The sequence below is a fragment of the Homo sapiens genome, chromosome 13 (genome assembly GCF_000001405.40).
Source record: "Homo sapiens chromosome 13, GRCh38.p14 Primary Assembly".
Classification (NCBI taxonomy): Eukaryota; Metazoa; Chordata; class Mammalia; order Primates; family Hominidae; genus Homo; species Homo sapiens.
Window position 1 is genome coordinate 47,941,376 of NC_000013.11, and position 14,281 is coordinate 47,955,656.

The following is a 14,281-nucleotide window of genomic DNA, read 5'->3' on the forward strand; positions in this document are numbered from 1 at the left end:
AAGAAGCCCTCATACAGCTAGTAAGTAGTGGATCCAGATTCAAAGCAGACAGTCTACTTTCAAAGTCTGTGCTCATCATCACTACGTTATGCTGCCTCTCATAGTATATACATCTGATCACACTTTAAGAACATCACAATAGGTAGAAGTTCTTAAATCCATCAGTATGGTTAAATAGTCTACTGCTTGGTCAACATTTCCTTCCATGGCATTAGTTAACTACCAAGTTTTATGCAGTGAGCAAAAGGTCAATATGTATATATACACACACACATATATTTACATATATGGACAAAAAGAACCATGTGACTACAATCTGTCTAAAAATATCCACCTGTTACCATATAAAACATCATACAGACTTTGGGAGTCCGAGGCGGGCAGATCACGAGATCAGGAGATCAAGACCATCCTGGCTAACTCGGTGAAACCCTGCCTCTACTAAAAATACAAAAAATGAGCTGGGTGTGGTGGCAGGCGCCTGTAGTCCCAGCTACTCGGGAGGCTGAGGCAGGAGAATGGTGTGAACCCCAGAGGCGGAGCTTGCAGTGAGCTGAGATCGTGCAACAGCACTCCAGCCTGGGCAACAGAGCGAGACTCCATCTCAAAACAAAAACAAAAACAAAAACATCATACAAATTTAGACATGTCCAAGACCAAAAAATAAACTCAGCTTCTCTCTTCCTCAGTAAAATAGTTAAGAAAAGGCTTTGAAGTTAGGCATCTTGGATTCAATTCTCCCCTCTGTTTCCTTTAGAGGATATACTAGATGGCATACACATAAATAGCAGACTTCCAGTGAACTATCTATCTATAAGTAGCTGTATAATATGTATGGTTGGCTGGGTGCAGTAGTTCATACATGTAATCTCAACATTTTGGGAGGCAAAGCCAGGAGGATTGCTTGAGCTCAGGAGTAAGAGACCAGCCTAAGCAACATAGTGATACCCTGTCCCTACCAAAAAAAAAACAAAAATCAAAAACAAAAAAAAACACATATGTTTTTTTGTGGTGTGTGCCTGTAGTCCCTGCTACTTAGGAGGCTCAGGTGGGAGGACTGCTTGAGCCCAGGAGGCAGAGGTTGCAGTGAGCATGATCATACCACTGCACTCCAGCTTGGGTGACAGAGTGAGACCCTGACTCAAAAAAAAAAACAAATCACTGTCATGGCAAGTATATGATCTAAGAATTGGTGCTTAGACCTCTATACTGCAATAACGAACAAATCAACTTCTACTGTGTTTACCTCAAAACAAGCAAACAAAAGCCATGAACCCAAATCATATTGGGAGATTTTTATTAACTTAAATTGACATTCTTAATTTTGTCTGTAAGTCCTTGGTATATATGCCTTTATTTGAAGCAAACCTACAGGTGTTTCTTAATATGACAGAATCATGAAGACTTGCAGTTAATCAGTGTTTCCTAATGATTAAAACAATGTTCAAATAATTACAAAGTTACTTCATCAAAATACTTAGAAGAATATTCTGAGGAGTGTTTGAAAGCTCTGTTTATAAATAGTGATTGATACATTTATCATGTATTTGGTGCTGAAGATAAACACTTTTTACATAAAACATTGTTTTAATATACTGCTCTACTAATGAGGCTAGTTATTAGATATACTGTATTTTAACACTAAAGAATAAAGCTTTATCTTCGTATTTATCTTATTTATAGGACTCTTATCAATGAAGAACTTTGTATCCAACAATAATAAACTGGCAAATTGCAAGTTACGTTTTGTAGGAGAAGCAAAAAAGACTGGCTGCGACAAAAGAAAGAAGATAACTGCATTATACATGCTTCGTACAAACAGTCCATTCTGAATGGTACAATTAAATGCAGTCCAAATCCTTTTAAATGTTTGTGTGCCTAGATGGCAATTACAATCTCCACACACTAAAAAGAAAAAGAACAATAACACAGAACACAGTATTCTTAATGATTATAGCACATTTAACACCTTCAGCCATCCACTGGGTTTTCAGATCATATTGGCAACTGAAATTTCACATCCACATGTGCTTGCTTCGCTAAGGTCACTATTTCAGAGAGCTTTACAACCTAAAAGAAAAGAACGAAGAATTTTCACAAAAAGGTAAATTCAGAACTACAGGTCAGTGCAAAATTAATGTACACTCAATTTTTTCCATTTAAAACATCTGGACTATTCTGACATTGCTATAAATCACATTACGTTCTTATAAGCAAATGACATTCTCAAAGGATAATCAAGTCTGACACTCCTCATAGTCCAAACTTCAATTAAATACTTTCTGATTAAGATGTTATACCACCTGCTAGGATTACACATATGTATTACATAAGATTATATATGTGTGTATAAAATGTGTGTGTATGTATGTGTGTGTGTGTGTGTGTGTGTATATATATATATATTATTCTAAATTTTATCTTAAAGACAGAAACAGTGAGTGTCTTTGTTGGATACTCCACAACTCAAAGCACATCTAAGTAAAAATTTGTTTTGAAATAAGTATACAATCTTAACTTAAAATGTTGGGATAGAAATTTGGGTCTACTAGTTAGTATTTTACTTTTTGTCAGTAAGTTAACAATTGCTAACCTGAGTTCCAATTCTCTCTACAATCTGTCTAAAAATATCCACCAGTTACCATACAAAACATCATACAAATTTAGACATGTCTAAGACCAAAAAAACAAACTCAGCTTCTCTCTTCCTCAGTAAATTAGTTAAGAAAAGGCTTTGAAGTTAGATATCTTTGGCTGCAAATCCCCCCTCTGATGCTTATGACATACAACCTTGAATAAGTTAACTTATCTAGCCTGTTTCTTCATCTATAAAAATGGAAATTTTATCACCAAATTCATATTAAATGAGATAATCCTTGAAGAAAACAGCTTAGCATTGCATGCACAGTAAACACTCAATAAACAGTAGTAACTGCTAATATCATCATCATCTCATTCAATATTATTATTGTTATGACTTCTATAATCTCCCAGTCAATAAAAACACTGTAGTCATAATTTAAATCAACTGTTCACTTTTACCTCTCATGATCTATTTGATCAAGGTCCTACTGGTTCTTCTCCTTCTTTTCATGTCCTCCAAGCTTTTCTTAATTTAAGTTTTCATTCCAAAAAAGTGCACTTTCAGAGACAAGTTATAACCTATTTATTACCTTCACCTTTTCTCATATCTAAGTATTGCACTAGATGGACTCCTACTATCTCTCCCCTTTTCCCTTCAATATATCCCACATCTCAAAGTCAAAATAGGCTTTCTGAAATACTTTCTCCTACTATTCCCTTGCTCAAATTCTTTATTTTTAATTCAGGTTTAAGTTTAAATTCTTCTGTCTCCAAGCTAGAGTTAAATTTTGTTTACTAGTAAGTACTTTCCCAAAGAAGGACATAAGACTTTTATTATTTTTGTGAAATGACATCACATTAACTCGGTAAATTCAAGAGTCTGGCCAAGCCTGGGGGCTCATGCTTGTAATCCCAGCACTTTGGAAGGCCGAGGTGGGAGGATCATATGAGGTCTGGAGTTCGAGACCAGCCTGGTCAACATGGCAAAACCCTATCTCTACTAAAAATACAAGGCTGGGCGCAGTGGCTCACACCTGAATCCCAGCACTTTGGGAGGCCGAGGCAGGTGGATCACAAAGTCAGGGGTTCAAGACCAGCCTGACCAACATGGTGAAACCGCATCTCTACTAAAAATACATAATTAGCCAGGCATGGTGGTACATGCCTGTAATCCCAGCTGCTTGGGAGGCTGAGGCAGGAGGATTGCTTGAACCTGGGAGATGGAGGTTGCAGTGAGCCGAGATCACACCACTGCACTCCAGCCTGGGCAACAAGACCAAAACTCTGTCTTAAAAAAAAAAAAAAAAAAAAAAAATTAGCTGGGCGTGGTGGCACACACCTGTAGTCTCAGCTACTCAGAAGGCTGAGACACAAGAATTGCTTAAACCCAGGAGGCAAAGGTTACAGTGAGCTGAGATCACGCCACTGTACTCCAGCCTAGGTGACAGAGCAAGACTCAGTCTCAAAAAAAAAAAAAAAAAAAAAATCAAGAATCTACTATTGATTAAGCTATAGAGCCCAAAGAGTGTTCGAGTGTTCAATGAAATGTCTATAAACATAATGGAAGGGAAGACAAAAAATTCTCATCTCTCTGTATCTACTATGAAGTGTTCTCTGATACACATTATTGTTAAGTAAAAGAAACAAAGTATAGATTACCATTAATCTAAAGTGGGAAAAGGGAGACACACACACACACACACACACACACACACACACACACACACAAAGTCCCCCCCTTATCCAATTTCACTTTCTACAGTTTCAGTTACCTGCAGTCAACTGTGGTCCAAAAATTTTAAATGAGAAATTCCAGAAATAAAAAAGTCATTAAGTTTTAAACTGTGTGTTGTTCTGAGAAGTGTGATGAAATCTTGCACCATCCTGCTCCAAGTGGAATGTGAACCATCTCTTTGCCCAGCGTATCCACGCTGTATAAACTACTCTTCCATTAGTCATCAACATTATCTACTCTTGACATCCAACAATCAACATCATGGCTCAATGATCCAGGATGAACCAAAGCAGATGATTCTCCTTCTGTTACATCATTAGGTCAGTAGTAGCCTAACACTATGTCACAATGCCTTCATCATTCACCTCAGTTCATCTCACCAAGTAAGCATTTTATCATCTCATTATCACCACAAAGGTGAGTATAGAACAATAAGATATTTTGAGAGACCACATTCACATTTATCACGGTATATTGTTATAATTGTTCTACTTTATTATTAGTTGTTGTTAATCTGTTACTATGTCTAATACATAAACTTTATCAAAGGAATATATGTACAGGAAGAAGCACAGTATATACAGGTTTGGAACTATCTGTGATTCAGGCACCCACTAGGGGTCTTGCAACACATTCCCTGCAGATAAGGGGGGACTACTGCACACATACATATAGTTATATACATACAATTAGCTTATGTTTTTAAGAAGTGGAAAGATAAACCAAAACTTTCTTAAAAAACAAACAAAAAAAAAAGGTAAAAAGGTTGCCTGTTGGGGAAGAAGTAAAGAGGGAAATATATAAAAGCTAGATTCCCTGATAATACCTTGTTCTATACTTTCCACTTTGGAATCATGTAAATACAAAATAAAAAACAAAAGGTTGTGTTTTTTTTTTTTTAAAAAAAGCAATCCCTTTAAAAACAATGAAACTATACAAAGCTGAGACAAAACACACAGAGAATTATTTCACATGAATTTTAAAATCCACTAAGTTGTGGGACATACCCTAAAGGACAGAAAGAAATGCAGATATAATTGCTTTCAGTAATCAGACTGTTGGTATTCTTATTATAAAACTGTCATATCTGTACTAAGGGACAAAGCAAATGAATAATTATGATAGTATGGCATGAACGAAGGTACAAACAGATGTCAGATAAGAAAAAAAAATCTATACTCCTGGACTTGCATTGAAAATATCAGTATGAACTCAAGTATTACCTCTTTAAAAAATACATGTTTTCTCAGACTTGCCACTTAAAAAGCTCAGAAACAATAATCAACCCAGTATCTATGAATACTCATAAGGCCAAATTGTGCTCTCTAAATACCATTTGGCCCATTCAAGTTCTGACTCAAGAAACGTAAAGATGAGCCTGAAACATTTTATCATACCAGATAGAGGGCTTCTCAGAAGGATGCAACAGTTAACCTGAAGAGGTTCCCAAAGACCAAAGGTTGGACAATTTCAATCACAACTTACATGAACTGAACTACATCAATGTTTTAAGTCATAAGTTCAAAACAGTATGCCAGTGGAACACACATGTGTATGCATGTGTATGCACACACGCACAATACACACACACACACACACACACACACCTGAAAACAAAAAGTAAACAAAATACAAAAAAAACAAAAAACAAAAAAAACCCTAGGTCACCTTTATTGGACATAATAGAACAAACATTATTTTGAAAATTGGTCAATAAAGGCAAATAATCAGGTAATTATCCTACTTTTCCTATGCAAAATGTACTCCATGGTAACAAATGGTTGACACGTGGAAGTATTACTTTTTAGAAGCATTACATATAATAAGTGAAGAATGACAGAATTACAATAGCAACGCTTTGCAACACAAACAAAATACTGGATCTAAGCTATGATGTCAATGGCTAGTAATACCACAAAAAGATTAACATTGTATACGTTTTGATGAAATTAAACACCTACTATGAAATATTCTTGTTCCCTGCTCCCCAAAATCAAATATGAATATGGTCAAGCCTACAGACTGAACTCCCAGTTTACAGGAAATACACAAGGCAGAGAACACAGAGAGGGCAGAGAACACAGTAAATGAATGACAGCCTAAAGATGCAACCATTAAAATCCAGACTATGAGAAACTTAACAAGACCATCAACCTGGATTTTTCAACAAATAAACCACAGAAAATACTTTTCTTTTTAAAAGGGGAAACCAACAGATTAAGAAACTTACTGACATATTAACCAACTACAATGCAGAGACTTATTCTGACCCTTACAAAGAACTTAAACAAAAGATATAAGAGACTCAGAAATTTCAACAGACTGTATTTTTATAAAACATAACCATAATACCATTACCCCACCTAAAACAAGTAACAGTAATTTTTTTATACCATTATCAATACCTTTATCTTTTACAGATGCATGATGAAATGTATGAAATGATATAATGTCTGGGATTTGCTTGAAAATAATCACAGTTGTGGGAGGAAGTAAGAATACAGACAAAACAACAAACAAGATTGGGCAGGAGCTGACCGTTGTTTAAGATGATCACAGATATAAGACGTTCTGACAAAGATTCTCTCCTTGACCAAACTCTCTTTTGTTTTTTCAATATATATTTATCGAATATATAGATAGATACACACACATACATACATATGCGTGCATGTGTGTGTGCGTGCATGTGTGTGTGCGCACATGTGTGAAGATAGGGTCTCCCTATGTTGCCCAGGCTAGTCTCAAACTCCTGGACTCAAGCAATCCTCCTGCCTCAGCCTCCCAAAGGCTACTCTGAACTCTCTTCTCAACTTGGCCCTAACTTTTGGACTTCTGTATTTGTCCCTGCATAGTCCAATTTTACCAAGAATCTTGCTTAAGTCAGTTTAGCCAGGATCCTCCCTTACCCATAATGTATCCTTTTAGTAATTTTTCATCCACTGCCCCGACCCTCTTCCTTGGTTATAAATTCCCACTTTTCCTTGCTGTATTTGGAGTTGGGCCCAATCTTTCTCCCCTACTGCAAAACTCCACTGCAGTAGTCTCTATGCTTATTGCAACAGTCCCTCTGAATAAAGTCTGCCTTAACATCTTTCAGCAAGAGTCATGAATAATCGTTTTCTTTAACCATTCATTACACTCATAATATTTAGCTGAAACACAAATTATTAGCTGTATTAATAATTAGGTTCATTTTAGAATCTGTGTTTATAAATCCTCCTTAGATGAACATGGCCAATTTACCATTCTAGCAGCTTCATCCAAGTCATCACAAGCAAGTATTTTAAGTCCACTGTCCGCTATCAGTGCCTTAGCATCATCGACTCGTGTACCTGTAAATGATTTATGCAAATATAAATGTTTTAAATACACACACAAAAGCATTTTAAAATGTTTGCCAAAACATGGTATAAGAATAAAACCTCAACAGAGGAGACTTCCATTATTTAGTATAAACACTTCTAAACCAAAGAAAACACTGTAAAAGCCCAGGTTATCTTATAAAATATTTTGCCTTACAATAATTCTGACTTGCTTAGTAATTCAGGCAAGTCAGAATTCAAGACAAATCACAACAAATAAAAAGTGTATCAAATTATACCAAGCAAAAGTATAAACATTTTGCCCCAATGTTAAAATGTTTTAAAAACTATAGTTTTAATTTCATATTGTATAATGCTTTCAAAGACACAGCTATTTAAAAACTATGTTTTAACAAACTGAACTCCATGGAAATGTGAACTTTTAAAGAATTAGGAACAACTGCAAGATACCTTTTATACTCACCTTGTAACCGTACCACAACAGGTATTTTAATTTCCAAGTCTTTTACTGCCATGACTATACCCTGTGCAATAACATCACAGCGCATGATTCCTCCAAAAATGTTGACCAGAATAGCCAGTACCTATGAATAAAGTGTTCTGATAGATTAAAATTTAAAAGAAATTTAAGTTCTTTTCCCCAAAAAATACTAGTATATGTGCTTCATGATAAACATTAACTTGATAGAAAGATTTTCAGACCAAACCACAATACCCTCTTCTAGCTCTCTTTATTGAAGTCTATGTAGTCCACTGCCCACCAGAACTTATTTCCATCTCCTTGGGTAATTTCAACACCTAGTTCACATTTCCTTCTCTACTATATCCCATATGAACAAGACCATCTAATTCCATTTACTTTCTCTTGTTAAATTTGGCCATTCACCAACGTGACTACCCCCAGATCATACTGTAAGATAGTCTCATGTGCAAGATCTCCAATTTAGTGTTTGTCACCTATCATTTCCTCATTTATCCCTGTAGGAAAAGGGCGTGTTGTGTGGCAAGAGTAACACCATCCTGAAGCAAAACTGTCATAATGACTAATGTTTGACTCCTGCAGAGCAAGGCCTTCTGCAGCAAGGTCAAGAAATACTGCCTGTAACATAGATAACCCTTATAAAGAAACAATGCCTGTAGCATAAATGACAACTCATAAAGATGTTTACCTAACTTCCTCAATGGTCACAAGTTTGACAAGAGGGTCTGAGATGTGACCAGCTGTGCAAGTGTTACCAAGAAAAAAAGCTCACTACATAAAGGATAATTTCTGGAGGGCTAGTGTGGGGATCCACCATCTCGCAGCCACCCAAGCCATAGCTTCTGTTTCTAAGTCCCTATATAAATTTAGTTTCTTTCTGAGAACTGGATTTGCCAGCCTCTTTCTCTGGCCTCTCAGATCCCCTGGCCTCTGGGGGTACATATGCATAGACCTGCTCACTGCAAAACAATCCCCATCAATGTAATCAACGTTTTACACAAACCAGGCCCTAAGAATCACCCAGCTTCTCCTGTATGGCCCTCTCTTGGGTACATTTCACATCCAAATCTCAGGACCTGTTTGGGTCAGCATTCTTTCAACATCACAATGATAGTTCTGAATCAGTGTTCTCCTATCCTTTCCAAATAATCTCTCTTTTTTAAAAAAAAGAGGTTTAGTTCACTCAGCTATACCAGGGCTTCTCAAACAATGAGATTAAAATGCATTGTAGATACACCAAAATATCATTCCCCTCAATTCTTGGGGCAGCTAGTAATGTTCTGGGGCAGCAGGAGCCTCAGGGCCAGTGGACTCTGACTACAAGCAATCTTCTCCATCTACCTCCAAGGCCCCACTGAAATACCTTCTGTGAATGCCATGACATGAAAAGGGGTGAGACACACTGAGCTATACTATACATTCTTTACCTTACCACTATTATTCCCAGACCTTTAAGAAATGAAGCTCTGGAATTCATAACAGACTAGAACTCATAGCAGCCTTTGGCATCTCTCATCTCTCTCCCTCTCACCTCATTCTGGAGAGTTTCCATATTCACCACCAGGCACCATCTAACACTCCAGCCTTAAAGTTCTTGGATCTTTACTCTACCAAGCCACTTTCACCTGTAGTCAATTTAAACGAATTACTACCATGGATAAATCCTGGACTAGGCCAGAATGAGTGTCTCTAGAATATTAAATGTATAAATCTCATTCTCCGCTCAACCTCCTTCCCCTTTCACTTTAATGCCTTTCTCCTCTAGCTCTATCAAACACAATCTTTTCTTCTTAAAAGCCTCTAGTCCGCCACCCCGCCCCCGCTCCCAAGAAAAAGCCTCTAGTCCCTCAATCCCTCTCTAATCTTCTACTCTATTAGCTCTCAATGGAACTGACTTTCTTCACTATAGAGCCTGGGACATATGGCTAAGCAATTCAGTGTCACTGCCACCTGCATGCTCAATTCTGTCATACCTATTCCTCTGCCATCCTACTTCAAACAATGCATCTTTGGATGATTCCAGCCATAGCTTATTCAGGGAAAAGTAAAAAAGTAAAAACTGAAAACAAAACTGGAAACACTAGCATAACCTGAAGAGCAATAAAATAATAATTCATCAGCAATCCTCAACTTAGCAGTCAGCCTCATACCTTTAACTCTCTTCATAAGCCTTCTATCCCATGCAAGCTCTCTAACTTTTAGCATACAACCTTCCTTTCTTTAGTGGCACCTCAAGAAAGGAGTAACCACCTTTCCAAAGCTGACCTGGCCAGATAATTATCTCCATCTATTTACTACATAGTATTTCCTCCAGGTCTTCACCCCTCTAGCTACATTCACTCTCTTTATTTTCAAATCTCTTCTCTTCCTCCAACTAGAAAGAGCTCATCTTCTTGATCTTCTAAACAAGCAAGAAAACATACACCACAAAACTCTCCTCAGTCCTACTGCCTTTGACTGATAGCACTGCATCCCTTCCATGCCTTTGTAAAAAAAAAAAAAAAAAAAGTCCTGGAAGAGTAATCTCTCCTGGATATCTCTATTCCCTCAATTCCTCATCAAATCAATCCATTACAATCTGGCCTATGCCCCCATCTCTTCTACTATTCTTACGAAGGTTCCCACTCACCTCTTTCAGTTCTTACTCTGTCTGAATAGTCCTACAACATTTGACATTGTTTCCCAATGCCTTACTTCTCAAAACTCTTCACCTTGGTCCTTCGATGTCACCACTCTCTCCCGATCTGTTCTTATCTCTGTCATTTGTTCTCTGTTTTTCATTTGGGTTTTCCTTCTCTATTCAACCCTTCAACAAAAATGGAGGGGCCAGGTTCCATTCTTGGTTCCTCATCTCACTTGCACAGATCACCTCACCAACTCCTAAGACTTCAACTTTTCTCCAATATAGGAAGTACAATATCTTTTCAATGAACTGTCTACTAGATATAGTCACCACAATCCAAACTTGACATTCATTCTGAAATACCTATTCCTCGACTTTGCCTCTGACAGCATGAAAGTCATCACCACCCAATGATTCTCCCCAGCCCAAAGTCCTAATGTTAACTTAACCAACCCTTCTATGAGGCTCCCAGAAAAGAAGAAAAAAAATGAATTTAATGACCCTATCTCAGAAATGCCTCTAATTTATTCTTACTGATATTGCCTTTGTCAGGGATCTCTTCCACAAGAGAATTCATTATGAATTCTCTTGTGTATGTGCTGGGGTAGGGAGTTAAAATCCAAACTCCTTAACTATAGATAATAGGGATCTTCACAAATGTGGTCACAATTTGCCAACATTATCTCTTATCATTTATCCCAATAATGCCATATTCTTACACATAAGCATCTTACCACCCCATGAACATAATGGCCCTCTCTGGATTCTATGTCTTTGTACATTTTCTTCCTCTTGCCCTCATTTAATTTTCAAGACAGCTTAAGGTATCATCCATTCAGTGAAGGCCACCCTGATTCTCCCAGTTTTTGCCTCTGTCCTCTGTTCTTCCACAGCACTACTTTGTGTCAATCACCCCAGTAAAACTATAAGTAACTTAAGAGAAGGGCCCATGTATTTCCAAGTCCAAGCACAGTGACCATCACAAAATATATGGCCACTTCAATGCTATCCACATTGACACCCTGGGTTACCATTCTGTTTCCAACTCTGACGCCCATCATGTCAGTCCCCTACACTGTAACTCTTCATATACTTTTCTCCATTCTTGCACCTGGGCCCTAAAAGCCATGCTTAGAAAAATAAACAACTAGAATTCTAATTCTAGTTGTAAGTACTCAACTCAATTCTAGTAGTAAGTACTCAACAGTTAGATAATTAGATTGTCTTTAATACTCTGCTTCTCGAGTTTGTCAAAAGAAGCTATAGAAATATAGTTCTAATAAAATGTTTACTTGTTTTAGTAATTACTAAACAAGGGAAATAATGCACATTTTACATCTCATTTAGTTTAATCCTCCTTGCAAAATTAATAAATATGGAAAATAAGGCTGTAGGCTCAAAGGAAAAGGCATTGAAATAAATTTATATTTTAAACAATTCTACGGTCTAACACCACAAATAAAAATATACATTGCCAGCAGCATCATCAATAATAAATATTGATTAATGACCTACATATGTACTGGGCATTATACCAGACACTACGAGAAGCAACAATTAGTAAGATATCATCCCTATCAGTGAAGAATTCTCGGTTTAAATCCAGTAAGAATAGTTCCACAGAGATTATTATCTTTTTTGTAAGCCTTACAAAATCTACACTGGCCACACAATAGATACACTCCTTAACAAATATCTAGTGATTAATAATATATATGTCTTTTGAATTATGATACTTCACATCCCTTATACTTTGATAATCATTAATAAACACATAGTTCTAAATTATGGCACATCTATAATGACAGATTACACAAACATTAAAATGAGTGTTTCAGAAGAGTCTCTTGGTGAATTGCAAAAATCTTCAAGATATGATAGCAAAAAAAGACTCAAAATATATATTAAAAGACATATATATGAATTCTAAATTCTAAAACATAAAAATATACATTTTTATAAGTATTTATTTTATATATTTACATGATATAAAAATATATCAAGCCCTGCCCTTACCTTTTTATCTGAAGTGATAAGCTTAAATGCTTCTGTTACTTGATGGACTGTAGCACCACCACCAACATCAAGGAAGTTGGCTGGAGTCCCTCCATGAAGTTTTATTATATCCATTGTGGCCATAGCCAAACCAGCACCATTTACTATATAGGGGAAAATGATTTGTATAAGCAACAAACACAGAGAAAATAAATTAAACTTAGTAAATCCAAATTAAACTTAGTGAATCCAATTCTAACATAAAAACACATGGTACCTAGGCAGCCTATATTTCCATCGAGGCCAATGTAGTTGAGATTTGCCTTAGCAGCATCTTTGTCCCTTTCATCTTCCTGGGTCCAGTCCTGTAGATCAAAGATTTTCTTTTGGCGATAGGCTGAATTAGAGTCAAAATTGATCTTTGCATCCATACACAATACTTTGAAGGGAAAAAGAGAAAAATGACCTTAATTTCAAGACAGATACAATAAAGTATCAAATAGTCAAATGGTCTTTCATTTAGGGAAAAGACACATTTTAATTTTGTTACTTAATGAAAATATTTCAATTTATGTTCACTATGAATTCAAACTGTTCTTTAAAAAAGAATATTTGGGAATTAAAACTGCCCCATCAAAGTTATTGGGTCTACATCCATGCTATGCACTACATAAAGAAAAAGAAAACCTCAAAAATATTTTAAATTATTTAAAAATTGTCAAAAATTAACTATCCTTGTTCGTAGCTAACCCCATCACTTGGGCCCCATATCCCATCCCCTCTCCTCTACTCAAAAATAATGTTCCAGCAATTCTGTCTCCCCTACATTATAAATCTGCCTCCCCCCACCCCTTACCTTTCTATTGGCTAAATCTTGCCGACTTGCTAAAACAGTTTTATTTCCTCACCTTAATAAAAAGAAAAAAAAATCTTTTAACTCCTATCTCCCCCTTACTCTTTACTACATAGCAACTCCTTGAAGATTTGTCTAATTAAAAGAGGGGTCTCAGAACAAGGGTTTCTGGGGAAAAAAAAGAAATAGAGGGGTGAGCAAACTATGGCCAGATTCGGCCTGTGCTTGTTTTTATTTTTTATTTTTTTGAGACAGGGTCTCGTTCTCACACCCAGACTAGAGTGCAGTGGCATGCTCTCAGCTCACTTCAACCTCCACCTCCCAGGCTCAAGCAATTCTCATGCCTCAGCCTTCCGAGTAGCTGGGAATACAGGCATGCACCACAACACCCAGCTAATTTTTGTAGTTTTAGTAGAGATAGGGTTTTGCCATGTTGGCCAGGCTGGTCTCGAATTGCTGACCTCAAGTAATCCACCCGCCTCAGCCTCTCAAAATGCTGAGATTAAAAGTGTGAGCAACTGAGCCCAACTTGTGCCTGTTTTCAAATGGCCTGTAAGCTAAGAATGGATTTTACACTTTTAAAGGATTATGAAGTCAAAAGGGGAAAAGAAAGAGAAGAAGAAGAAGCAAAACAGCAGCATCAAAAACTATATGTGATCCATAAAGCCTAAAATACTTATTAAAT

At 36.7% G+C, this 14,281-nt stretch overlaps 1 protein-coding gene across 1 annotated transcript in view; it reads right to left on the bottom strand.

The window, feature by feature from the left end:
• Nucleotides 1,281–14,281, bottom strand: part of SUCLA2 (succinate-CoA ligase ADP-forming subunit beta) — a 58,618-nt gene continuing 45,617 nt past the window's right edge. Inside the window, exons 7-11 of the mRNA NM_003850.3 lie at nucleotides 13,021–13,182; nucleotides 12,765–12,907; nucleotides 8,108–8,228; nucleotides 7,565–7,653; nucleotides 1,281–2,070 (exon numbers count right to left, since the gene is read on the bottom strand). Coding sequence (NP_003841.1) covers nucleotides 1,996–2,070; nucleotides 7,565–7,653; nucleotides 8,108–8,228; nucleotides 12,765–12,907; nucleotides 13,021–13,182 — 590 coding nt within the window. The 3' untranslated portion in view covers nucleotides 1,281–1,995. The remainder of the gene's footprint in view (nucleotides 2,071–7,564; nucleotides 7,654–8,107; nucleotides 8,229–12,764; nucleotides 12,908–13,020; nucleotides 13,183–14,281) is intronic.